The sequence below is a fragment of the Homo sapiens genome, chromosome 9 (assembly GCF_000001405.40).
Source record: "Homo sapiens chromosome 9, GRCh38.p14 Primary Assembly".
Lineage (NCBI taxonomy): Eukaryota > Metazoa > Chordata > Mammalia > Primates > Hominidae > Homo > Homo sapiens.
In genome coordinates this window covers 33,824,260-33,848,486 of record NC_000009.12, presented here as the reverse complement: position 1 = coordinate 33,848,486, position 24,227 = coordinate 33,824,260, and the positions used below count along the sequence as shown (strand labels likewise).

The following is a 24,227-nucleotide window of genomic DNA, read 5'->3' as shown; positions in this document are numbered from 1 at the left end:
ATCCTTGACTGATTTGAGGTGAACAGCCCCACATCCTATCTACCTAGCAAAGGAAAGAGGGAGAAAGATATCATCTTAGTCTCCAGGATTATTTTGTATGCAAAGTCTGTATACAATTTAAAAAATTAAGAAGTATGGAAAGAGGGAGAATGACTGATAAGAGGAGAAAAAAGTACAGAAACAAATCCACAGATGATTCAGATATTGGAGCTGGCAAACGTGGACTTTAAAATGACTATGATTAGTATATTAAAAGAAAATAGAAGAAAAAATTGCACAAAATGAATTTATGAAATGACTTTTTGGAATGAATTTTAACAGAATACTGGAAACTATTTTAAAAATTTAAACCTGAAATACAGTACCTAGAATCTGTAACTCATTGGATAGACAGTATAAAACAGAATTAGTTAACTTAAATTCAGGTCAACAGGCCAGGCGCAGTGGCTCCTGCATGTAATCCCAGCACTTTGGGAGTCAGAGGCGGGTGGATCACCTGAGGTCAGGAGTTTGAGAACAGCCTGACCAACATGGTGAAACCCTGTCTCTACTAAAAATACAAAAAAAACTAGCCGAGTGTGGTGGCACATGCCTGTAATCCCAGCTACTTGGGAGGCTGCAGTAGCAGAATGGATTAAACACAGGAGGCAGAGTTGCAGTGAGCCAAGATCACGTCATTGCACTCCAGCCTGGGCAACAAGAGCAAAACTCCGTCTCAAAAAAAAAAAAAAAAAAAAAATTTCAGGTCAAATCCAAACTGAAGCACAGAAAACAAGGGCAAAAAGGACAGAACACAGTGTTGGAGACACACAGAACATAGTCAAAAATTCTACTATACGTAGGTTAATGAAGAAGAGAGAGAGAATGAAGCAGCAATATTTGAAAAGATAATGGCTATGAATTTTCTAAAACTAATGAAAGATAAAGAAGCTCAGTGAACCAAAGGCAGGAAAGAAAACCACACCCATGCACATCAAAGTTTAACTGTTGAAAACAAACACAAAGAGTAAATATTAAAAGCAGCCAAAAGAAAAAAGACATTACTTTAAATGCAGCAATAATAGCATTACTAAAAGAAATTAAGCAAGCCAGGGCCGGGCGCAGTGGCACACGCCTCTAATCCCAGCACTTTGGGAGGCTGAAGCAGGAGATCACTTGAGGCCAGAGTTCAAGACCAGCCTGGCCAACATGCTGAAACCCCACCTCCACTAAAAATACAAAAATTAGCCGGGCATGGTGGCGCATGCCTGTAATCCCAGCTACTCGGGAGGCAGAGAAGGAAAATCGCCTGAATTCGGGTGGCAGGGGTTGCAGTGAGCCAAGATCATGCCACTGCACTTCAGACTGGGCAACAGAGTGATACTCTGTCTCAAATAAATAAATAAAGCCAGAAAACAATAAAATGAAAACTTCATAGTACTGAAAGGGGGAAAAAAACCCAGCCTATAATTTTATATCCAGAAAAAAAAAAACCTTCAAAAAAAAAAAAAGCAAAATAAAGATGTTTTCAGGCAAATAAAAACTGAGACGGGTTGTTGACAGCAGATCTGCACTATAAAAATTATTAAAAGTTCACTAAGCTGAAGGAAAATCTCTCAGATAAAAGTACCACTTCAGGAAGAAATGAGAAACACTGTTAAGGAAAATATGTGGTTAAAATCAAAAGAATAATATTTGTGACACATAAAAACTATATAAAACTCAATAAATAAAGTTTTATTGGAAAACAACCATACTCATTCATTTATAACTTATCTGTGGCTGCTTTAATGCTACAATGGCAGAGTTTAGCAGTTGCAAGAGACCATATGTGGTGTTCTCATCACTTCACACTGCTGCATGATATACTACAAAATTACAGTGATATAGTAGCTATATTTGACAACGTTTTGAGAGCCACACATAATGCTGTACTGGGATATTTTATTTTTTATTGTCATTGCTTAACCCATCATATTAAAACCAAAAAAGAGAGAGAGAGAGAAAAGTGGACTTGAAATGTCATACTTTTAGGCGCAAGGAATGTTTTGTCAAATTAGATGACAAAGCATTGTCTTTATTATGCAATGACAATGTAACTATCCTAAAAAAAATACACTATTCATAGACATTACCAAATTACACTCATCACACAACAGTACCTAACTCACGGGAAAATAGTAGCAAAAAATTAGAATATTTTATTTTATTTTTGAGATGGAGTTTCGCTGTTACCTAGGCTAGAGTGCAGTGGTGCAATCTTGGCTCAGAGCAACCTCTGCTTCCTGGGTTCAAGTGATTCCCCTGCCTGAGCCTCCCAAGAAGTTGGGATTACAGGCTCGTGCCACCACACCTGGCTAATTTTTGTATTTTTTTTTTTTTTTGAGACGGAGTCTTGCTGTCACCCAGGCTGGAGGGCAGTGGCGTGATCTTGGCTCACCGCAAGCTCCACCTCCCGAGTTCACGCCATTTTCCTGCCTCAGCCTCCCGAGTAGCTGGAACTACAGGTACCCGCCACCTTGCCTAATTTTTTGTATTTTCAGTAGAGACGGGGTTTCACCATGGTCTTGATCTCCTGACCTCGTGATCCGCCCACCTCGGCCTCCCAAAGTGCTGGAATTACAGGCGTGAGCCACCGCGCCCAGCCAATTTTTGTATTTTTAGTAGAGACAGAGTTTCGCCATGTTGGCCAGGCTGGTCTCGAACTCCTGACCTCAGATGATCTGCCCGACTCAGCCTCCCAAAGTGCTGGGATTACAGGCGTGAGCTACTGTACCCGGCCTAGAAAATTCTAAATGAAGTATCTTATCACAGTAGAATTTCTTCATAAAATAATGAAAATAAAACAGCAACTAAATTAGGTGGATGGCTCATTTGTTAGCCTATCAAGAACCACTTACTAATGATTAGTTCATTAAATCATGTTTGATTATACCAGTCAAAGAAATGTATCCAGGCCAAGCTGGGTGCGGTGGCTCACGCCTATAATCCCAGCACTTTGGGAGGCCGAGGTGGGCAGATCACGAGGTCAGGAGATCAAGATCATTCTGGCTAACACAGTGAAACCCCGTCTCTACTAAAAAAATAGAAAAAATGAGCCGGGTGTGGTGGCGGGCGCCTGTAGTCACAGCTACTCGGGAGGCTGAGGCAGGAGAATGGCGTGAACCCGGGAGGCGGAGCTTGCAGTGAGCCAAGATCGTGCCACTGAACTCCAGCCTGGGTGACAGAGCAAGACTCCGTCTAAAAAAAAAAAAAAAGATTGTGCCACTGCACTCCAGCCTGGGCAACAAGAGTGAAACTCCGTCTCAAAAACAAAAAAGAAAAAAAGGAATGTGTCCAGAGGAAATAAGATTATTAGCTTTTTGGTGAGAACAGTTGCTCAGCAAGCTGAGGATACTGTAAGCAACATCAACAGTTGATTAAAAACCAAGGCAATGAAGGCAGGGCTTGGTGGCTCACACCTATAATCTCAGCACTTTGGAAGGTCGAGGCAGGCGGATCATTTGAGGTCAGGAGTTCAAGACCAGCCTGACCAACATGGTGAAACCCCGTCTCTACTAACAATACAAAAAAATTATCCAGGCGTGGTGGCACACGCCTGTAATCCCAGCTACTCCGGAGGGTGAGGCAAGAGAATCGCTTGAACCCGGGAGGTGGAAGTTGCAGTGAGCCAAGATCACACCACTACACTCCAGCCTGGGCCACAGAGCAAGACTGTCTCAGAAAAAGAAAAAAAAAGGCAAATGATTTTGAGTGGTTTTCCTTGGCTCTAGAGGACTCAACATATGTTACTGATACAGCTCAGTTGTTTATTTGAGCAGTCAATACAGACTTCGAAGTGACTGAATAATTAGCCTCTCTAATGAATGTTTGGAACAACACCACCAAGAATATTTTCAAACTTGAATAAACACTAATTCAGTTCAACCTTAAATGGAATCTGCTAAAGAAACATTACAACTGATGGTAAAAAAAAAAAAAAAAAAAAAAAATAGATGTGGGACAGCTAGGCGTGGTGGCTCACGCCTGTAATCCCAGCACTTTGGGAGGCTGAGTCGGGCGGATCATCTGAAGTCAGGAGTTCGAGACCAGCCTGACCAACATGGTGAAGACCTGTCTCTACTGAAAATACAAAATCAGCTGGGCATGGTGGCGCACACCTGTAATCCCAGCTACTGGGGAGGCTGAGGCAGAAGAATCGCTTGAACCCGGGAGGCGAAGGTTGCAGTCAGCGGAGATCGCGCCACTGCACTCCAGCCTGGGCGACAAGAGTGAAACTCTCTCAAAAATACTTATATATATGTGTGTGTGGAACAGAAAAAGGCTTATTAATTGGACAAATTAATAAAACTTATGAAAATATAAAATGTAATAAAGTGTTTCAAGCTTATGGTTACTCACTGTATTATTCATCAGCAGGTACTGATGGCAGTGATGTTTTAACTGCAATTTTTTGAGCTTGGGATCAAGACAAATTTTTCTGAAGAAGTAACCTCAACTATCATTATAGAATACTAAATGGCCTTGGAAATCAGCTTTTTTACTGCAAGGTTGATAATACCTCTTAATAGATTTTTAAACTAAAATTATATGACAAATAGCACTTATGTACAAAACTTATGCAGTGGTAAAACCCAAAATATTTGGATGAAAACAAAGGTTGTCTGAATTATAAGTAATGTCAAACATCTCTATAAACTTCCTGTCTTAAACAAAAGTTAAAACAAGAAGTAGGCTGGGCGCAGTGGCTCACGCCTGTAATCCCAGCACTCTGAGAGGCCAAGGCAGATCATTTGAGGTCAGGAGTTCAAGATCAGCCTGGACAACATGGTGAAACCCCATCTCTACCAAAAATACTAAAATTAGCCAGGTGTGGTGGCGCGAGCCTATAATCCCAGCTACTAGGGGGGCTGAGGCAGGAGGATCGCTCAAACCCAGGAGGCAGAGGTTGCAGTGAGCTGAGATCATGCCACTTCCCTCTAGCCTGGGAGACATAGCCAGACTCCATCTCAAAAAAAAAAACAAAAAAGTTAAAACAAGAAGTAAAACCTCCATTTCCAGACAAATTTGCTATGAATGTATTTTCCTTTTTTTCTACTTGCTGCATTACTACTAATGAAGTAAGTTGAGTGATTTTTTTTTTAAAAAGAGGTCTGCTTGCCTGGGCATGGTGGCTCACACCTGTAATCCCAGCACTTTGCAAGCCCAAGGTGGGCAAACCACCTGAGGTTAGGAGTTCGAGACCAGCCTGGCCAACATGGTGAAACCCCATCTCTACTAAAAATACAAAAATTAGCTGGGCGGGATGGCGCATGTCTGTAATCCCAGCTATTTGGGAGGCTGAGGCAGAAGAATCGCTTCACCCCCAGGAGGTGGAGGTTGCAGTGAGCCAAGATCGTGCCACTGCACTCCAGCCTGGGCGACAGAGCAAGACTCTGTCTTAAAAAAAAAAAAAAAAAAAAAAAGTGGTCTGTTTTTTTTTTTTTGTAAACACGGTCTCACAACTGTCACTCAGGCTGCCATGCAGTAGCACGATCACAGCCTGGGCTCAAGCCATCCTCCCACCTCAGCCTTCCAAGTAGCTGGAACTACAGGCATGTGTCATGGCATGTGGCTAGAATATATTTCCTGAGCTCAAATTGCAGCTTCAGCAGTGTTTTTCAGACCTTCAGCCAAGTACAAAAGGAAATTTATATACATCAAAATCCAGTTAACTGTGCAATTGTAGCGCTTCCACGTACTCTTTAATTGGAAGTGATTAATCTACACTACAATGGCATGCTAAAAAGCAAATATCAAGAGAAGAATCTAACAGAATTCTATATACTCCCTCCCAAGCAATAAATATCACAATGAAAATCATATGCCCATGTACTAGTATCTGCATTTAGCAGTACCAATCTGTATGAAGACATTTTCAAAGAGGAAATCTCATTCGAGATCAACATGAGCAATCCATTTTAATGAAAACAATAACCTTATTAAGTGATGCAATTATCCATCCCTCCAAAATTAATTCAATTCTTAATGAGACCTGCATTACCAAAAAAAAAATTTCAATTATTTTTATTTGAATTTTGTCAATACAAATTGGTGGAAATTTATCTTCTCTCTTGTAATATAAATCTGTCACCCCAGGCTGGAGTGCAGTGCCATAAGGCTCACTGCAGCCGCAACCTCCCAGGCTCAGGTGATCCTCCTACCTCAGCCTTCCGCGTATCTGGGACTACAGGTGTGCACCACCATGCCCAGCTAATTTTTTTTTATTTTTGTGGAAACAAGGTCTCACTATGTCACTCAGGCTGGTGGAGAATTCCTGGGCTCAAGTGATCCTCTGACCTCGGCCTTCCAAAGTGCTGGGATTACAAGTATGAGCCACTTTGCCCACCCTAAATATAGTATCTTTAATTTTGCCTCCGGGCCTGCAAAAATTAAAACATCTGCTACCTGGCCTTTTACAGAAAAAGAATGCCAGCCACTGAACTATATAATTACTTACAGAATAAAAACAAATTAAGGTTGAAAGAGAATATTGCATGTAATGAATAATCTGACAAGATAGATATAATACAGATATGATGATGTCGGGGGGTGATGAGGACAGCATACATGAAACAATTTATGCAACTATTCTCAGCAATCACATTGGTTATGGTATTATTAGTATTGCTATTCTGAGACTACTGTGTAATATACGAGAAAACAAGCGAGTAATTAATAATGAGGATATTCTAGTTCATTATTCCCTATCCTTGAGAACCAGAATTTTTAACATGGAAAAATATACACCGATGTATTATAATACAGAAGTGGTTAAGTTTTATAAAAAAGCATGTGTACAGATATACACATATACATATATATCACCCATAACTCTGTCCTAGAAACAATGACAACTCACAGCAGCAATAATCTCTAAGGTCCATATTAGGCGCCCTAAATACCTCTGCCACTAAAACCAGGGCTTGTTGAAGAAATAATAGGTTATAAATCTGGGGTAGAAACTGTAAAAGATAAGCCTGCAACACCTGGTCATACCAGATAGCAAAGATGCTACGAAAACTACAAGAAGTAGACCAAGTCATTCAGGAGTCAACTTGAAGAAGCTCCAACTGGCCAAAGACATAAGGCTGGGCGCAGTGGCTCACGCCCGTAATCCCAGCACTTTGGGAGGCCGAGGCAGGTGGAACACCTGAGGTCAGGAGTTCGAGACCAGCCTGGCCAACATGGTGAAACTCCGTCTCTACTAATAATCCAAAAATTAGCCAGGCATGGTGGCACACGCCTGTAATCCCAGCTACTCGGGAGGCTGAATCAGAATAGCTTGAACCCGGGAGGCAGAGGTTGCAGTGAGCCGAGATCGCACCACTGCACACCAGCCTGGGGGATAAAGCAAGACTTCGTCTCAAAAAAAAAAAAATCAGGCGTGGTGGCAGGTGCTTATAATTCCAGCTACTCGAGAGGTTGAGGCAGGAGAATTGCTTGAACCCGGGGGGCAGAGGTTGCAGTGAGTTGCGATGGCCCCACTTCACTCCAGCCTGGGTGAAAGAGTGAAACTCCATCTCAAAAAAATTAATTAATTAAATTAAATTAAATAGCTGGTTCTCTTAGAGAATAATAGGGAACTAAGTCACTATTTTGAAAAAAGAATAAATAAAGGCAAAGAATCAAGTATATATCCTACCTTTCCTATATAACTGTGCCACTGGATAACTGAACAGCAGGTAAGCAGAAGCATCTCTTAATAAAAGTATTCCAACAAAAAATTTTAAAAAAACCCACACAATTAGAATGTCACTATTTTTAAACCATTGATAAATTAATGGATCTGGGCACTGAGCCCAACAACTGCGGACATGATTTAAAAAAAAGAGAAAACCAGACTTCTGCCTCCCCATGAAAGAACACAACACTGCCTACAGTATTGCTAAAGAGACCGAACCAGAGTCTGACCAAGTCTCTGAGTTCAGTAACCAATTTGCAAAATATACAAGGAATGAAGAAAGATGCAACATGAGTGTACAATCAGTAAAATTCAAACTTTGGTTAACTCTCCCTGGGTTCTTCAACATAAAAACTAAGGAAAAAAAAGGGATAGAGGCATAAACTGTGGTTTAAAAGACATCATAACACTAAATAAAATATAATGTCTAAGAATGTACACGGTGATAAAACTATAAAAGAAAAGGAAATGACTGAGAGAGAGTGAAGTAGTGGTTATTTTTCTTTTTTGGGAGGTGAGTTACAACTGAAATGGAACACATGGATGGCTCCTGGATGGCTGAAAAGTTCTGTTTCTTGAACTGGGGATATGGATATTCGCCTTATTTTTTAAAAAAAGAAAAAGGGGAAAAAGCACTATCTGTATGTTTGTGAAAGAGACGTTTTCTGCTAATTTTACATACAAATATTAAAAGCAACTTAGAAAACATACCTACTTAGTTCATTCAAGCTGCTATACCAAAAGTCATAAACTGGGTGGCTTATAAACAACAGAATTTTTTTTTTTTAAGAGTCAGGGTCTCACTCTGTCACCCAGATTGGAGTACAATGGCACAATCATAGCTCACTGCAGCCTCAAACTTCTGTGCTCAAGCAATCCTCCAACCTCAGCCTCCCAAGTAGCTAAGATTACAGGTAGACCACCACACTTGGCTAACTTATTAGATTTTTTTGTAGAGACAGAATCTTGCTATGTTGCCCAGGCTGGTCTTAAACTCCTGATCTCAAGCAATCTTCCCACCTCAGCCTCCCAAAGTGCTAGGATTATAGGCATGAGCCACCACTCCTAGCTTAAACAACAGTAATTTATTTCTCACAGTTCTGGAGACTGGGAAGACCAAGACACCAACAAATCTGGAGTCTAGTAAGGGCCCATTCTTCATATACGATGCCTTCTTGCTGCATTCTCAAGTAGTGAAAAGGACTAGCTAGCTCTCTGGGGCCTCTGTCATAAGAACACTAATCTCAGGCCCAGCACGGTGGCTCACACCTGTACTCCCAGCACTTTGGAAGGCTGAGGCGGGTGGATCACCTGAGGTCAGGAGTTCGAGACCAGCCTGGCCATCATGGCGAAACTCCGTCTCTACTAAAAATACAAAAATTAGCCAGGTGTGGTGGCAGGAGCCTGTTATCTCAGCTACCTGGGAGGCTGAGGCAGGAGAATTGCTCGAACCTGGGAGGCAGAGGGTGCAGTGAGCAGAGACCCTGCCATTGCAGTCCAGTCTGGGCAACAAGAGTGAAACTCCGTCTCAAAACAAAAACAAAAACACAAACACTAATTTCATTCATGAAGCCAGAGCCCTCACGACGTAATCACCTCCCAAAAGCCAGACCTCCTTATACTATCACATTGGGGATTATGTTTCAACATATGTCTTTTGGGGATACACATTCAGACCACAGCAACTTTTTTTTTTTTTTTTTGAGACAGTGCCTCGCTCTGTTGCCTAGGTTGGAGTACAGTGCCTCGATCTCAGCTCACTGCAACCTCCATCTCCCAGGTTCAAGCAATTCTCCTGCCTTATCCTCCCGAGTAGCTGGGATTACAGGTGCGCTCCACCATGCTCGGCTAGTTTTTGTATTTTTAGTATAGACCAGGTTTCTCCATGTTGGCCAGCTGGTCTCGAACTCTTCATCTCAGGTGATCCACCCACCTCGGCCTCCCAAAGTGCTGGGATTACAGGCGTGAACCACCACGACTGGCCAGACCACAGCAACTATGTAAAACAATAATACTGTTGCTTTAGAGGTTTATAAGAAAATATACCATCAATAGGGCAAAGGACAAGAAGGAGGTAAAGAGCTAAATGTACGGTTCTTGCATTTCCTGGGAAGTAATAAAACCAACTAACATAAACTAAACTGTAGTAAATTAAGAATCCATAATCCACCTGTCTCAGCCTCCCGAAGTTCTGGGATCACAGGCGTGAGCCACCATGCCCAGCCAAGATATACACATTTTATTGTATGTACATACACCTCAATTTAAAAAAAAACTATTAAGCAGATTAACATTAGCAAACATCTCAGGAAAGTTTACCATGAAACACTTAAAATACAACTCAACGTGAAGAAAACAGTCCATGCAGGAAAAGTAAAATGTATTAAAAATGTATATATATATGTACATACATATATATAAACATTATATACGTATACACAGTAGGCCCTCCATATCCCTGGGTTCTACCAACAGTGGATCAAAAATATTCAAGCGAAAAAAAAACAAGAAAAAAAAAACAGTAAAAAAAGCAATAAAAAATAATACAAACTAAAAAATACAGCTAGACTGCCACTGCACTCCAGCCTGGGCAACAGAGCAAAACTCCATCTCAAAAAAATAAATTAAAAAAATAAAGCATATGGGAGAATGTGCACAGGTTAAATGTAAATACTATATCATTTTATATAAGGGACTTGACCATTCAAGATTTTGGTATCAGTGGGGGTCCTTGGAACTCCCCCTATGGATACTGAAGGACAACTGTAAATAATGGCTTATATATGAGACATATAATTACACATACATAAAACTATGTATACTTCTATATAAGCTATATATATTTACCTATATATCTGTATATACATGATGTCTTCAGGGAGTTAATAGGAGAAACGACAACCATGATCAAGACATCAAAACCAAGACATCAAAAACAGAATGTTGGCTAAGCCCAGTGGATCACACCTGCAATCTTAACACTGTAGGAGGAATGCTTGAGCCCAGAGTTTGAGACCAGCCTGGGCAACATATTGAGACACTGTCTCTATTAAAAAACAAGAACAGGCCAGGTGTGGTGGCTCTGTAATCCTAGCACAATGAGAGGCTAAGGCAGGTAGATCAATTGAGCTCAGGAGTTCAAGAACAGCCTGGGCAACACAGCAAAACCCATCTCTACTAAAAATATAAAAATTAGCTGGGTGTGGTAGCAGGTGCCTACAGTCTCAGCTACTTAGGAGGCTGAGGTGGGAGAATCTCTTGAGCCCAGGAGGCAGAGGTTGCAGTAAGCTATGTTCGCACCACTGCACTCCAGCTTAGGCAGCAGAGCAAGAGCAGACCCTGTCTCAAAAAAAAAAAAAAAAAAGAAGCAGCAGCTGCCTAAACTGAAAATAAGAGGCTGGGCACAGTGGCTCATACCTGTAATCACAGCACTGTGCATGGTCGGGGCTGAGATAAGAATATCGCTTGAGCCCAGGAGGCTGAGGCTGCAGTGAGCCTTGATCGCACCCCTGCACTCCAGCCTAAGCCACAAAGCAAGATTCTGTCTCAAAAACAAATAAAGGAAAAAAAAGAGAAAAAGATATGTTAATTAGAAGAATTAATTCAGACTGTTCTATATCCAGATAATGGGTGCTCCCCAAAAAACATGAGGAAAAACATAGAGGAGAAAATATCTTGAAATAATTCAAGAAAATTTCCCAATGCTGAAAAACATGAGTTTAAAAGTACCTACAGCAATGTGAAATTTAAGAAATCAGGGACACACAGAGTCCTGCAAACTTCCAGAAGAAAAAACTCTTCACATACCATGCACAGGATTTAGAACATTCTTGAATTTCAAACATCATCTTTGGAACTAAGAACCCAATACAGTAATGTCCTCGAAATTCTAAAGCTACAGGATTTCCAATCTAGAATTCTATACCCAGCCAAGTAATTTCAAGTATAAAGTTAGAATAAAGCTTCAAAAAATTTACCTGCTAGGCACACTTCCTCAAGAATATATATATATATATTTTTTTTTTTTGAGATAAGAGTCTTGCTCTGTTGCCCAGGCTGGAGTACAGTGGCATGATCTTGGCTCACTGCATCCTCTGCCTCCCAGGTTGAAGTGATTCTCCTGCCTCTGCCTCCCGAGTAGCTGGGACTACAGGCATGTGCCACCATGTCTGGCTAATTTTTTGTATTTTTAGTAGAGATGGGGCTTTGCCATGTTGGCCAGGATGCTCTCAAACTCCTGACCTCAAATGATCTGCGTGCCTCTGCCTCCCAAAGTACTGGGATCATAGGCATGAGCCACCAAGCCCAGCAAAATATTCTAAAATTGACTGTGGTGATGATTGCACAATTCTGACTAAAAACCACTGAATTACAGTCATATGTTGCCTAATGACAGGAATATGTTCTGAGAAATGCATCATTAGGCAATTTCATCATTGTGTGAACATCATACAGCATGCTTACACAAAAATGGTATACTTGTACCTAGATGGTATAGGCTCCTACACATCTAGGCTATATGGTATAGCCTATTGCTCCTAGGCTTCAAACCTGTACAGCATGTTACTATACTGAATATTGTAGGTGAGTAGCTGGGATTATAGGCGCCTCCCACCACGCCCAGCTAATTTTTCTATATTTTTAGTAGAGACAGGGTTTCACCATGCTGGCCGGGCTGGTCTCAAACTCCTGACCTCAGGTGATCCATCTGCCTCGCCCTCCCGAAAGTGCTGGGATAACAGGCGTGAGCCACTGTGCCCAGCCCACAATTCTTATACTATACAAACTTTTAACTTTTTGACCTTTGAAACAACACTTAGCTTCTTAGCTTAAAACGAAATCACACTATACAGCTGTACAAAAATAACTCATATCTTTACTTTCTTCTACAAGCCTTTTTTAGAGAAAGGGTCTCACTCCGTTGCCCAGGCTGGAGTGCAGTAGTGCAATCATAGCTCACTGTAACCTTGAATTCCCAGGCTCAAATGATCCTCCCACCTCAGCCTCCTGAGTAGTTGGGACTACAGGTGCGTGCCACCAGGCCTGGCTGTTTTGTTTTTTTTTTTGTAGAAACGGGATCTCCCTATGTCACCCAGGCTGGTCTTGAACTCGTGGGCTCAAGTGATCCACACACCTCAGCCTCCCAAAGTGCTCAGATTACAGGTGTAAGCCACTGTGCCTGGCCAACTCTGTCTCAAAAACAAACAAAAATTGTAAGGACATATAAAGTTTCCTGCGACATCTTTTGTATTAAGGAAAAGGCTGAAACAACTTAAGTGTCCAGCAATAGAAATGAAGTACAGCATATACACTACACGGCATTTAAAAACTACACTTAGGCCGGGCTCAGTGGCTCAAGCCTATAATCTCAGCACTTTGGGAGGCTGAGGCAGGTGGATCACCTCAGGTCACCAGCTGAAGACCAGCCTGACCAATATGATGAAACCTTGTATCTACTAAAAATACAAAAATTACCCAGGCATGGTGGTGGGTGCCTGTAGTCCCAACTACTCGGGAGGCTGAGACAAGAGAATCACTTGAACCTGGAGACAGAGGTTGCAGTGAGCCAAGATCATGCCATTAAACTCCAGCCTAGGCAACAGAAAGAGATTGGGTCTCAAAAAAAAAAAAAAAAAAAACCTACACTTAGACATGCATGTTCTCTCATGAAAAGATAGCTAAAACATATTCATATTAAGTTTCAAAACATATTACAAACCAGTTTATGTAATATGTTCCCAACATGCATATCTGGAAGGACAAAAAGGAAATACTCATTACTCTGGGAAATGTGATTGTGGGTAATTTCTCTCTTTTTCTATTTGTTTATCAATATTTTCTTTTCTTTTCTTTTCTTTTGTTTTTTTTTTTCCTGAGACAGAGTTTCGGTCTTGTTGCCCAGGCTGGAGTGCAACGGCACGATCTCGGCTTACTGCAACCTCCACCTCCCGGGAACAAGGGATTCTCCTGCCTCAGCCTCCCGAGTAGCTGGGATTACAGGCATGTGTCACCACATCCGGCTAATTTTGTATTTTTAGTAGAGATGGGGTTTCTCCACGTTGGCCAGGCTGGTCTCGAACTCCTGACCTCAGGTGATCCACCTGCTTCAGCCTCCCAAAGTGCTGGGATTACAGGTGTGAGCCACCGTGCGAGGTCTATATTTTCTAATTTTTATATAATGAATAGGTTTTATAAATATAATTAAATAGTAGCTATTTAACAGCTAATATCGTGACAAGGTCATGGAAGATGGTGGACTAAGGAGCTCCAGGAAGGCTGGGCGTGTGGCTCACGCCTGTAATCCCAACACTTTGGGAGGCCAAGGTGGGCAGATCACCTAAGGTCAGGAGTGCGAGACCAGCCTGACCAACACGGTGAAACCCGTCTCTACTAAAAATACAAAAAATCAGCTGGGTGAGGTGGTTTGTGCCTATAATTCCAGCTACTCTACAGCTACTTGGGAGGCTGAGGCAGGAGAGTCACTTGAACCCGGGAGACGGAGGTTGCAGTGAGCCGAGACTGAGCCATCACACTCCAGCCTGGGCAACAGAGCGAGACTCTGTCTCCAAAAAAAAAAAAAGAAAAAAAAAAAGAAGCTCCAAGAATCCGTCACTACACCTAAACAACCACTGAGCTGGTAGGAATTGTCTAAAGTAACTACTGTGGGACTCTAGAGTCTACCAAACATTTACAGCATCCAAAAGAGAACGGCATGATTCACAATAACCCAAAGGTGGGAACAACCCAAGCATCCATCAACAGATGAATTATACAAACAACGGAATGTTATTCAGCCATTAAAAGGGATGAAATTCAGAGACATGCTACAACATGGATGAATCTTGAGATAATTATACTAAGTGAAATAAAACAGACACTAAAGGACAAATATTTTATGACTCCACTTCTACAAGGTGCCCAGAATAAACAAATTCATAAAGACAGAAAGGAGAATTGAGATTACCAGAGAATGAAGGCAAGGGGGAAAAATTAGTTACTATTTAACAGCTTCAAAGTTTCAGTGTGGAATGAAGAAAAAGTTTAGAAAATAGGTCATGATGCTGGTTACACTTCACAGTGAATATACTTAATGTCACTGAACTGTACTCTTAAAAATGGTTAAAATGGTAATTATATGATTCACCACAATCAAAATAAAATGCTATGTCGTAAAATGTAACTGAGAAGTGACAGATGGAGTTTAAATCCTTCTTTTCATATAATCTTCCATTACTTAGAACATTTTTTATTGTTAAGTAATGCTGAAGCTCTTACAAGAAACGACCATATCAGCCGGGCACAGTGGTTCATGTCTGTAATCCCAGCACTTTGGGAGGCCGAGGCAGGTGGATCACCTGAGGTCAGGGGACCAACCTGGCCAACATGGTGAAACCACGTCTCTGCTAAAAACACAAAAATTAGTCGGGCGCGGTGGCTCACGCCTGTAATGCCAGCACTTTGGGAGGCCAAGGCAGGCGGATCACGAGGTCAGGAGATCAAGACCATCCTGGCTAACACGGTGAAACCCCGTCTGTACTAAAAATAAAAAAAAATTAGCCAGGCACGGTGGCATGTGTTTGTAATCCCAGCTACTCGGGAGGCTGAGGCAGGAGAATCACTTGAACCCAGGAGGCGGAGGTTTCACTGAGCTGAGATCGTGCCACTGCACTCCAGCCTGGGCAATACAGCAAAATCCTTTCTCAAAAAAGAAAAACCTCATAATTTTCAAATTAGTAGAATCCAAATTAGTGAGGACTCATTGTACCACACAAATAATAACTCTGAGTCCTCAGAGCCATTTTCCTCATATTTTAAGAAAAAAGAGTAACTTCATTTTCTTCTCACATAGACAAATTTGGTATAAAAACTGCCCTGCTGTGGTCATCTTTTTCTTTAAAAAACTGAATGTGACTATACATTTATCAAAATTCATAGAACTATGTAACTAAAAAGATTAATTTTAATGTATAAATTATACCTCCATAAACCTGACTACTTAAAACTATAATAGAATTTAATTAAAGTTTTGATTCTGAGAGCATTAAAAAAAACCTTGAAAAAATTTAATTAAAGTTCAACCAAAGAGTATTAAATAATTTCTTTCTTTCTTTCTTTTTTTTTTTTTTAGACGGAGTCTCACTCTTGTTGCCCAGGCTGGAGTGCAGTGGCACAATCTCGGCTCTCACCGCAACCTCCGCCTCCCAGGTTGACGTCATTCTCCTGCCTCAGCCTCCCAAGTAGCTGGAACTACAGGTGCTGGCCGCGAAGCGCAGCTAATTTTTTTGTATTTTTAGTACAGACGGGGTTTCACCGTGTTAGCCAGGATGGTCTCGATCTCCTGACCTTGTGATCCGCCCACCTCAGCCTACCAAAGTGCTGGGATTACAGGCATGAGCCACAGCGCCCGGCCGAAAAAATTTGATTAAAGTTCAACCAAAGGGTATTAAATAATTTCTTTTCTTTTCTTTTTTTTTTTGAGATAGATTTTCGCTCTTGTTGCCCAGGCTGGAGTGCAATGGCGCAATCTCAGCTCACTGCAACCTCTGCTTCCCGGGTTCAAGCGATTCTCCTGCCTCAGCCTCTGAAGTAGCTGGGATTACAGGCACGCACCACCACGCCTGCCTAATTTTGTATTTTTAGTAGAGACGGGGTTTCTCCATATTGGTCAGGCTGGTCTCGAACTCCCAACCTCAGGTGATCCGCCCACCTCGGCCTCCCAAAGTGCTGGGATTACAGGCATGAGGCACTGCACCCGGCCTAAATAATTTATTAGTGATTGCTATCGTTGATTCAATGAATCAAGCTTAAGAATACCTGGGTCACAGGTCGGGCGCGGTGGCACACGCCAGTAATCCCAGCACTTTGGGAGGCTGAAGCAGGCAGATCACCTGAGTTCGGGAGTTTGAGACCAGCCTGATCAACATGGAAAAACCCCATCTCTACTAAAAATACAAAAAATTAACCGGGCGTGTTGGCAGGCACCTATAGTCCCAACTACTAGGGAGGCTGAGGCAGGAGAATGGCATGAACCTGGGAAGCGAAACTTGCAGTGAGCCAAGACCGCGCCTCTGCACTTCAGCCTGGGCGACATAGTGAGACTCCGTCTCAAAAACAAACAAATAAAATAAAATAAATAAAATAAGAGTTCGAGACCTGCCTGGCCAACATGGTGAAACCCCATCTCTACTAAAAATACAAAAATTAGCCAGGTGTGGTGATGCATGCCTATAATCCCAGCTACTCCAGAGGCTGAGGCAAGAGAACAGCTTGAACTTGGGAGGTGGAGGTTGCAGTGAGCCGAGATGGCGCCACTGCACTCCAGCCTGGGAGGCAGAGCAAGACTCTGTCTCAAACAAACAAACAAAAAGTATTAAGTCATAAGAAGGAAAATATTCTTTTGAATAACAAAACTCTTTTGTTTTGCCTTATTGCATATATCAGGTATGATTACAAGTAAACTTAAAAATCTGTTTTTTAAGATTTAAGCCACTGTTTCTTTTTTCTTTGTAGAGATGGGGGTCTCACTACGTTGCTCGGCCAGTCTTGAACTCCTGGGCTCAAGAGATCCACCAGCCTCAACCTCCCAAAGTGCTAGGATTACAGGTGTGAGGCACAACACCCAGCCACCAGTCTGTTTCTGTGAAGAACTACTACATATTTTCCAAGTTTTTATAACTTTACCTATTCTTTTTTTTTTTTTTTTTTTTTTTGCTAGTTCAGTGAAACAGAGGGAATGAAGAAGAAACTAAGCAATCTGTAACTGGTTGTGATCAATAGGTTGTAAATACCACTGCACTCGGACCAGCCTACTCTACTCATTCTTAATATTATCTTATAAATGGAACCACAGTTATTTCAACAAGGTAGAAATTATTCAATGTTTAAAACCCAAATTACTATGTTTGCTACTAAATGAGCCAATATGAATTATTTTATGGGACTTATCCCTCAAATTAAATACCAGCTGCCCATGCAACAAATAAGCAAAGCAGATATCTCTTTTTTTTTTTTTTCCTTTGAGAGGGATTCTTGCTGTGTCCCCCAGGCTGGATTGCAGTGGCCGATCTTGGCTCACTGCAACCTCTGCCTCCCGGGTTCAAGAGATTCTCCTGCCTCAGCCTCCCAAGTGGCTGGGATGAGAGGCGCACAACACCACGACAGGCTAATTTTTGTATTTTCAGTAGAGACGGGGGTTTCACGATGTTGGTCAGGCTGGTCTCGAACTCCTGACCTCAGGTGATCTGCCCACCTCGACCTCCCAAAGTGCTGGGATTACAGGCATGAGCCAACGCGTCCAATCAGCAAAGCAGATATCTAAAGAATTATGAGGCCGGGCGCAGTGGCTCATGCCTGTAATCCCAGCACTTTGGGAGGCCGAGGCGGGCAGATCACATGAGGTCAGGAGTTCGAGACCAGCCTGGCCAACATGGTGAAACCCCGTCTCTACCAAAATACAAAAATTAGCTGGGCATGGTGGCATGCGCCTGTAGTCCCAGCGACTCGGGAGGCTGAGGCATGAGAATTGTTTGAATCCAAGAGGTGGAAGGTGCAGTGAGCTGAGGTCACGCAACTGCACTCCAGCATGGGTGACAGGGCAAGACTCTGTCTCAAAAAAAAAAAAAAAAATTATGAAACTTGGAAATCCAAATGCAGAATAAATTAACCAATTAAAACTACTGCACTGATTAGGCTGGGCGCGGTGGCTCACGCCTGTAATCCTAGCACTTTGGGAGGCCGAGGAGGGCGGATCACCAGAGGTCGGGAGTTCGAGACCAGCTTGACCAACGTGGAGAAACCCTGTCTCTACTAAAAGTACAAAATTAGCCGGGCGTGGTGGCACATGCCTATAGTCCTTGCTACTCGGGAGGCTGAGGCAGGAGAATCACTTGAAAACCCAGGAGGCGGAGGTTGCGGTGAGCCGAGATTGTGCCACTGCACTCCAGTCTGGGCAACTAGAGCGAAACTGTTTAAAAAAAAAAAAAAAAAAAAAACGATTGCACTAATCTAAAGATGCTGTAATAGAGGTTAAAAAATAGCACTCACTAGACTCAAATGAGGAAACTGAAAAGAATGTTTCCCTAAGCTTAGGTTTCCTCTATGATGCTTAAATATACTTGGAAAATATCAAGGCATTATTATTTTAAAAGCATAAACCAATATTGTATTGAGAAATTTAACTTTCTCTATCATCTCTCACTTTCAGAGGTACTATATCATCATTTCTCATCCCAAAATCAACTTTTTATAAAAACAGATTTTGCGGGTACCCATGCAGTTTTGTTACATGGATGTTTTGCATAGAGGTGAAGTCTAGGCATTCAGTGTACCCATCATCCAAAGAGTATACATTGTACCCATTAGGTAATCTCTCATCACTTAAGCTGCCTCCATTCTTCCACCTTTCTGAGTACCCAATGTCTCCAAAACCAAATTCTTAGACTTATATTTTTCTCAATATTGGCACCATTCCCACCCTCCCCTTAATGTTAAAGTTGCTATTAAAGAAATCAATTTGCTAATAAAAAGCCTTTCTGAAATATGATTTATCATTCTCTTATTCAAGTAGTCCAGAATTTTTTAAAGATCCATTTTTTTCCTGTGGATTCAACAGACAAAAGGCCAGGCGCGGTGGCTCACAACTATAATCCCAGCACTGTGGGAAGCCAAGGTGGGCAGATCACTTGAGGTAAATTCAATCCCAGCCTGGCCAACACAGTGAAACCCTGTCTCTACTAAAAATACAAAAATCAGGCCGGGCATGGTGGCTCACACTTGTAATCCCAGAACTTTGGGAGGCTGAGGCAGGCAGATCACCTGAGGTCAGGAATTCGAGACGAGTCTGGCCAACAGGGTGAAACCCCATCTCTACTGAAAATACAAAAAAGTATCCAGGCATGGCAGCGTGCGCCTATAATCCCAGCTACTCAGGAGGCTGAGACAGAATAATCACTTGAACCCGGGAGGCAGAGGCTGCAGTGAGCCAAAATCATGCCATCGCACTCTAGCCAGGGCAACAAGAGCAAAACTCCATCTCAAAAAAAAAAAAACTACAAAAATTAGCTGGGCATGGTGGCACATGCCTGTAATCCCAGCTACTCGGGAGGCTGAGCCAGGAGAATTGCTTAAACCAGGGAGGCGGAGATTGCAGTGAGCCGAGCTCGCACCACTGCACTCCAGGCTGGGGAACAGAGCGAGACTTGATCTCAAATATAAATAAATAAATAACAAAAATTAGCCCGGTGGTGGCACATGCCTGTAGTCCCAGCTACTTGGAGGCTAAGGCAGCAGAACTGATTGAACCCAGGAGGCGGAGGTTGCAGTGAGCCAAGATCACTCCACTGCACTCCAGCGTGGACGACAGTGAGACTGTCTGCAAAAAAAAAAAAAAAAGTTTTAAGAGACAAAAACTGAAGTCATCAAAATTTTAAAACAGTTCCTTGTAAAACACTCCATAAGTTTGATTTTAATTTTTTTTTTTTTTTTGAGAAATAGTCTTGCTCTATTGCCCAGGCTGGTGTGCAATGGTGGGATCTCGGCTCACTGCAACCTCCACCTCCCAGGTTCAAGCGATTCTTCTGCCTCAGCCTCCCGAGTAGCTGGGATTATAGGCGCGTGCTACCACAACCAGCTAATTTTGTATTTTCAGTAGAGATAGGGTTTCACCATGTTGGTCAGGCTGGTCTTGAACTCCTGACCTCAGGTGAGCCGCCAGCCTCAGCCTCCCAAAGTCCTGGGACTACAGTGAGCCTCTGTGCCCAGCCTAATTTAATTTTTAATTTTATTAATTTATTTTATTTGTATTTATTTTTTTTTTGAGAGGGAGTCTTGCTATGTCGCCCAGGCTGGATTGCAGTGGCATAATCTGGGCTCACTGCAACCTCCGCCTCCCGGGTTCAAGCAATTCACCCGCCTCAGCCTCTTGAGTAGCTGAGATTACAGGCATGTGCCACCATGCCCAGCTAATTTTTGTATTTTTAGTAGAGACGGGGTTTCACCATGTTGGTCAGGCTGGTCTTGAACTCCTGATCTCACGTAATCTGCCCACCTCAGCCTCCCAAAGTGCTGGGATTACAGGCATGGGTCACCACGCCGAGCCTGATTTAATTTTTAATTTAATTTTATTAATTAATTAATTTTTTTTTTTAGATGGAATTTCACTCTTGTTGCCCAGGCTGGAGTGCAATGGCGCAATCTCAGCTTACTGCAAATTCCACCTCCCGCATTCAAACAATTCTCCTGCCTGAGCCTCCCAAGTAGCTGGGATTTCAGGCGTGCGCCACCACACCAGGCTAATTTTTGTATTTTTAGTTGAGACAGCGTTTCGCCATGTTGACCAGGCTGGTGCCGAACTCCTAATCTCAAGTGATTCGCCCGCTTTGGCATCCCAAAGTGCTGGGATTACAGGCGTGAGCCACGGTGCCCAGCCTATTTATTTTTAATTTAACTTATTTATTTTTGAGACTGAGTCTTGCTCTGTTACCCAGCTAGAGTACAATGGCATGCTCATGGCTCACTGAAGCCTCGACCTCCCAGGCTCAAGTGATCCTCCCACCTCAACTCAACCTTCTAAGTAGCTGGGACCAAAGACACAAACTGCCATGCTTGACTAATTTTTTTTTATTCGAACAGCGTCAAAAAATAATAATAATAATAAGACAATAACCAAAACCTTTTTATTTTTTTTTGAGGCAGAGTCTCACTGTCGCCCAGGCTGGAGCGCAGTGGCGCGATCTCGGCTCACTGCAGCCTCCGCTTCCTGGGTTCAAGCGATTGGCCTGGGTTCAAGAGATTCTCCTGCTTCAGCCTCTCGGATAGCTGGGACTACAGGTTCACGACATCATGCCTGGCTAATTTTTGGATTTTCAGTAGATGTGGGGTTTCACCACGCTGTCCAGGCTGGTCTCGAACTTCCGAGCTCAGGTGATCTGCCCACCTCTGCCTCCCAAAGTGCTGGGTAAAAATTATAATCGTGAGCCACTGCACCCACCCAATAACCAAAACATTTTTATATGTATTTGTTACTAAATCAAATAAAGGTGTTTAAAGTGGACTATTCACTTTTCTTTTTTTTTGGAGGGGGCGGCAGGGGACAGAGTCTCACTCTGTTGCCCAGACTGGAGTGCAATGGCGTGATCTCAGCTCACTGCAACCTCTCCGCCTCTGGATTCAAGCCATTCTCCTGCCTCAGCCTCCCGGGTAGCTGGAACTACAGGCACGTGCCACCATGCCCTGCTAATTTTTTGTAGTTTTAGTAGAGACGGGGTTTGACCGTGTTAGCCAGAATGGTCTCAATCTCCTGGCCTCGTGATCCGCCTGCCTCGGCCTCCCAAAGTGCTGGGGTTACAGGCGTGAGCCACCACTCCTAGCCACTTTGCATCTTAAATACATATTCCAACACCTGAATTTTCCAATTATCATGTGGAAGATCATTTAAGTAACATCAAACCTTGGTGATGTGAACTAAATTTACCTCTTCAACTTAGTATCTATCATTCCATTCACTTCAGAGTCAACTAATTTTGAGGTACATAAGCATAATCTCTGAATAACAATTTCTTGCTGAATAAAGTTGATATTAACACAATCAAAGAGGTTAAATTTTACTCAGGAATCTCTGTAGGATTTTTTTTTTTTTTTTTGAGACAGAGTCCCATTCTGTTGCTCAGGCTGGAGTGCAGTGGCACAAGATTTTGGCTCACCGCAAACCTGCACCTCCTGGGTTCAAGCGATTCTCCTGCCTCAGCCTCCCAAGTAGCTGGGACTACAGGCGCATGCCACCACACCCGGCTACTTTTTGTATTTTTAGTAGAGATGGGGTTTCACCATATTGGCTATGCTGGTCTTGAACTCCTGACCTCAAGTGATCTGCCCACCTCCGCCTCCCAAAAGTGCTGGGATTACAGGTGTGAGCAGGCATGAGCCACTGCATCCAACCAACTCAGATATCTCTGTAGTCGTATGTGAAGCAGTTCAAAAGAAGTTCAGAAACATAAAAGAATTAAACCTTTTCAATATAATCTTTAAGCAAGATGGAAATCTGTAGTCCTAAACTCTGAATTTATACCTTTTCCTCACTGTTATTTTTCCATAACTAGATTATCAGAGGTAGCCTAATTTGCTGGATGGTCTCCTTTCTCTCACGTGTCTCCAACTGACCATTAAGTTGGAAAGATGGAACAGAACATTTTATCATTATGTTGAAAAATGGTCTAACTAGCCTTAAAGCTTTAAAAGCTTTGCTTTTGGACAGGTGTGGTGGCTCATGCCTGTAATCCCAGCACTTTGGGAGGCCGAGGTGGGTGGATTACCTGAGGTCAGGAGTTTGAGACCACCCTGACCAACATGGTGAAACCCCATCTCTACTAAAAATACAAAAATTAGTCTGGCATGGTGGCACACGCCTGTAGCCCCAGCTACTCGGGAAGCTGAGGAGGAGAATTGCTTGGACCCAGGAGATGGAGGCTGCAGTGAGCCAAGATTGTACCACTGCACTCCAGCTTGGGTAACAGAGACTCTGTCTCAAAAAAAAAAAAAAAAAAAGCTTTGCTTTTATGAAGATCATTCTTTTTGTTTTTGTTGTTTGCCTCCCAAAGTGCTGGGATTACAGGCGACCGCCTGGCCGATCATTCTTAAAAGCTCTAAGGTTATCATTGTCCTAATACTTTCACTTACTATCTTTAAGGAAGTGACTTTTCCTACAATTTGCTTTTCCTTTAATGAGTCCTCAATAAAAATTTTTCCTGACACAAAAGGTGAAAAAAGGAGAATCAACGCAGAGTATTAATTAGGACCTAAATCCTTCAATCCAGGAAGAAATAATCCTTATTTTAGCAAATCTATGACATTGAAACTGGTATTTAAAAAAAAATTTACCAAAAGATTTCAATGAAATGGTCTCTCACAACTAGGTTATAAGTACCACTTGGCTGATGGCAATTACAAGACTTCATGGATTCCAAGAATTTTTTTTTTTTTTTTTTTTGAGACAGAGCTTCACTCTGTTGCCCAGGCTGGAGTACACTGGCATGATCTAGGCTCACTGCAGCCTCCACCTCTTGGGTTCAAGCAATTCTCCTGCCTCAGCCTCCCAAGTAGCTGGGACTGCAGGTGCGGACCATCACACCCGCTAATTTTTTTTTTTTTTTTGAGACAGAGCCTCGCTCTCTCGCCCAGGCTAGAGAGCAGTGCCTCGATATCAGTTCACTGCAAGCTCCGCCTCCCGGGTTCACGCCATTCTCCTGCCTCAGCCTCCCAAGTAGCTGGGACTACATGTGCCTACCACCATGCCTGGCTAATTTTTTTGTATTTTTTTAGTAGAGATGGGGTTTCACCACGTTAGCCAGGATGATCTCCATCTCCTGACCTCGTGATCCGCCCGCCTCGGCCTCCCAAAGTGCTAGGATTACAGGCATGAGCTACCGCGCCCGGCCCACACCAGCTAATTTGTGTATTTTTAGTGGAGACCGGGTTTCACCATGTTGGCCAGGCTGGTCTTGAACTCCTGACATCAGGTGATCCACCCGCC

The 24,227-nt window shown here is 42.6% G+C and overlaps 1 protein-coding gene across 5 annotated transcripts in view, besides 2 other annotated features; it reads right to left on the bottom strand.

The window, feature by feature from the left end:
• UBE2R2 (ubiquitin conjugating enzyme E2 R2) overlaps positions 1-24,227 on the bottom strand; it is a 105,232-nt gene that overhangs the window by 71,913 nt on the left and 9,092 nt on the right. The window lies entirely within an intron of this gene.
• Positions 4,699-4,778: a silencer, noted in NCBI's record as "silent region_19839". NCBI's record gives its function as "represses an Ori minimal core promoter by ATAC-STARR-seq in GM12878 lymphoblastoid cells {active_cell/tissue: GM12878}" and the evidence as "EXISTENCE:reporter gene assay evidence [ECO:0000049][PMID:35858748]".
• Positions 4,819-4,878: a silencer, noted in NCBI's record as "silent region_19838". NCBI's record gives its function as "represses an Ori minimal core promoter by ATAC-STARR-seq in GM12878 lymphoblastoid cells {active_cell/tissue: GM12878}" and the evidence as "EXISTENCE:reporter gene assay evidence [ECO:0000049][PMID:35858748]".